The 2,839-nt window shown below is 39.6% G+C and overlaps 1 annotated feature.

The window, feature by feature from the left end:
- Window positions 1,863–1,922: a silencer, noted in NCBI's record as "silent region_4645". NCBI's record gives its function as "represses an Ori minimal core promoter by ATAC-STARR-seq in GM12878 lymphoblastoid cells {active_cell/tissue: GM12878}" and the evidence as "EXISTENCE:reporter gene assay evidence [ECO:0000049][PMID:35858748]".

A 2,839-nucleotide genomic window follows, 5' to 3' on the forward strand; every position in this document is an offset into this window, starting at 1 on the left:
ACTGGCCATCAAAGAAATGCAAATCAAAACCACAGTGAGATACCATCTCACACCAGTTAGAACGACAATCATTAAAAAGTCAGGAAATAACAGGTGCTGGAGAGGATGTGGAGAAATAGGAACACTTTTACACTGTTGGTGGGACTGTAAACTAGTTCAACCATTGTGGAAGACAGTGTGGTGATTCCTCAAGGATCTAGAACTAGAAATACCATTTGACCCAGCCATCCCATTACTGTGTATATACCCAAAGGATTATAAATCATGCTGCTATAAAGACACATGCACATGTATGTTTATAGCGGCACTATTCACAATAGCAAAGACTTGGAACCAACCCAACTGTCCAACAATGATAGACTGGATTAAGAAAATGTGGCACATATACACCATGGAATACTATGTAGCCATAAAAAAGGATGAGTTCATGTCCTTTGTAGGGACATGGATGAAGCTGGAAACCATCATTCTCAGCAAACTATCACAAGGACAAAAAACCAAACACCACACGTTCTTACTCATAGGTGGGAATTGAACAATGAGAACACTTGGACACAGGAAGGGGAACATCACACACCAGGGCCTGTTGTGGGGTGGGGGGAGCGGGGAGGGATAGCATTAGGAGATATACCTAATGTAAATGACGAGTTAATGGGTGCAGGACACCAACATGGCACAAATATACACATGTAACAAACCTGCACATTGTGCACATGTAGCCTAGAACTTAAAGTATAATAAAAAAATTAAAAATAAAAAATAAACAAAAAGTCTTGGCAGCAACGATTCATAGTAATTTATTTATTTATTTATTTACTTACTTATTTATTTTTGAGATGGAGTCTTGCCCTGTCGCCCAGGCTGGAGTGCAATGGTGCTATCTCAGCTCACTGCAACCTCTGCCTCCCGGGTTCAAACAACTTTCCTGTCTCAGCCTCCCGAGTAGCTGGGATTACAGGCACCCGCCACCACACCCAGCTAATTTTTGTATTTGTAGTAGAGATGGGGGTTTCACCATGTTGGCCAGGCTGGTCTCGAACTCCTGATCTCGTGATCCACCCACCTAGGCCTCCCAAAGTGCTGGGAATTACAGGCGTGAGCCACCGCACCTGGCCGGTAATTGATTTAAATGATCATGCTAGGGTATTTGTTAGTGCCAGGTATATGTTTTCAAATTAGTAAAGCACTTCGGATGTTTCATCTTTGCAAAATTACAAGTTAAACTTCATATTACTCGTTCCTTGTGGAACCAAAATTTAGTATTGCCATACAACCTATTTTCGATTTTCTTTTGGTTTCCCCAGAACCTTAACTGTTTTGACCTGAATAGTTTTTTGACAGGAACATTGAATGCTAAGGTACTCACTGTGGGCAAATTTTTCCTGAGATGCCCAAACTCTGACTATCATTGAAGTTATGAGTGTAAAGTGCCTGCATCTTCCCATAATGTGTGGCATTTGGGTTAGTTTATATTTTCTTCTTAAAATTACAAAACTGAGTTTAATTTAATTCACCTTATTCAAAAAAAACTTGCAGCAAACATAGGAAATCTTTGATATTGGGCACGCATTCATTCAGGGACCAACCTTGACTATCTTTCCTTTCATCAGTAATTATCGTGGGTACTTTATCTCTGCATTTCCTGACTCAAAGCTGATAACATCTCCAATTCATGGTTACGCTAATATAGTTTGCATTTATCAGGTAATTAGTTCCACCTTCTAGAGTAGCTGAGTCACAACACTGTAGTCAGTCTTTTTTCGCTTTACCACATAACGGAAATAGACAAATCATTTCAGCACCCCTACCTGAAACTGCCTCTGGGTAAGCTGAATGTAGGTCACAACTGATAGGTCTGTGATGAGAGGCCACGATTTCAGGGTACCCTGTCACCTGCTTATTAGATTTAACCTTAGCCTCTCTAAAACAAGGCTTTTTTTCTTGTTGTTTTAATGAAAATTTGCCGACATAATAAAACTAAACATTTTGAAGTGAATAACATTTAAATAGCATATATGAAAACTTCACAGACCTTATGCCATTTAATCTGAAAACTAAATTGGTGAGTGATCTTAATCTGCAAGATGAGGAATACAAGCTCAAAGTTCAATTGGCTTGCTCAAGGTGGAGTTAGGACTAGAACATAGGCTACTATAACCCCAAAGCCAGTTGTTCCCAAACTACCTATGAGAATCTGGAAGATTACACATATAGATTCCTAGGCCGTCTCTGCATAGTCTCCCTCTGTAAGTCTATTGTTATTTGTGGCTTGTTTTTATTTTCTAGGTGGACTTCAGCCAAGAAAATAAACTAAACCAAACCATTTGTATAAGCCAAGGAATATGTAAGTGGTATAATAAATATTAAAGCAGCTTATCTTGAGCTGGCTTTCTGAAGTAGATTGTTTTCTCTGTCAGGCAAGTGATATGGAAAGTTTAGGAGAGACTGAGGCAGTAGCTAGTGATGGGCTTGTAAACCGCCTCCCAGTAAATGGGAGAAGCCCTAATTTATGGCATCTGTTGATTTCAGTGGTGTAAATACTCCCACCATGGCCAATTTCTAACTACTGATAACTTTAACAACTTGCTCACAACATTCTTATTTAATGATTGGCCCATGAGTTAGCTCCAGCATAATACTGGCATGTAGACTGTATAGGGGAGAAACTGAACAATTTCCCAGCATTATCTAAATTGTCCATTATGTGGTCTGAATTGGTGTAAACTCCCCAAACATTACTCTACCTGTTGGCCTCATGTTCTGATTTCCAAAGGTGGCTTAGTGTCCCCCAAGTCCTCATTTCTCAATTTCCAGATATGCTTTATATGGATATAGGGCA

Source organism: Homo sapiens, chromosome 12, assembly GCF_000001405.40.
Source record: "Homo sapiens chromosome 12, GRCh38.p14 Primary Assembly".
Classification (NCBI taxonomy): domain Eukaryota; kingdom Metazoa; phylum Chordata; class Mammalia; order Primates; family Hominidae; genus Homo; species Homo sapiens.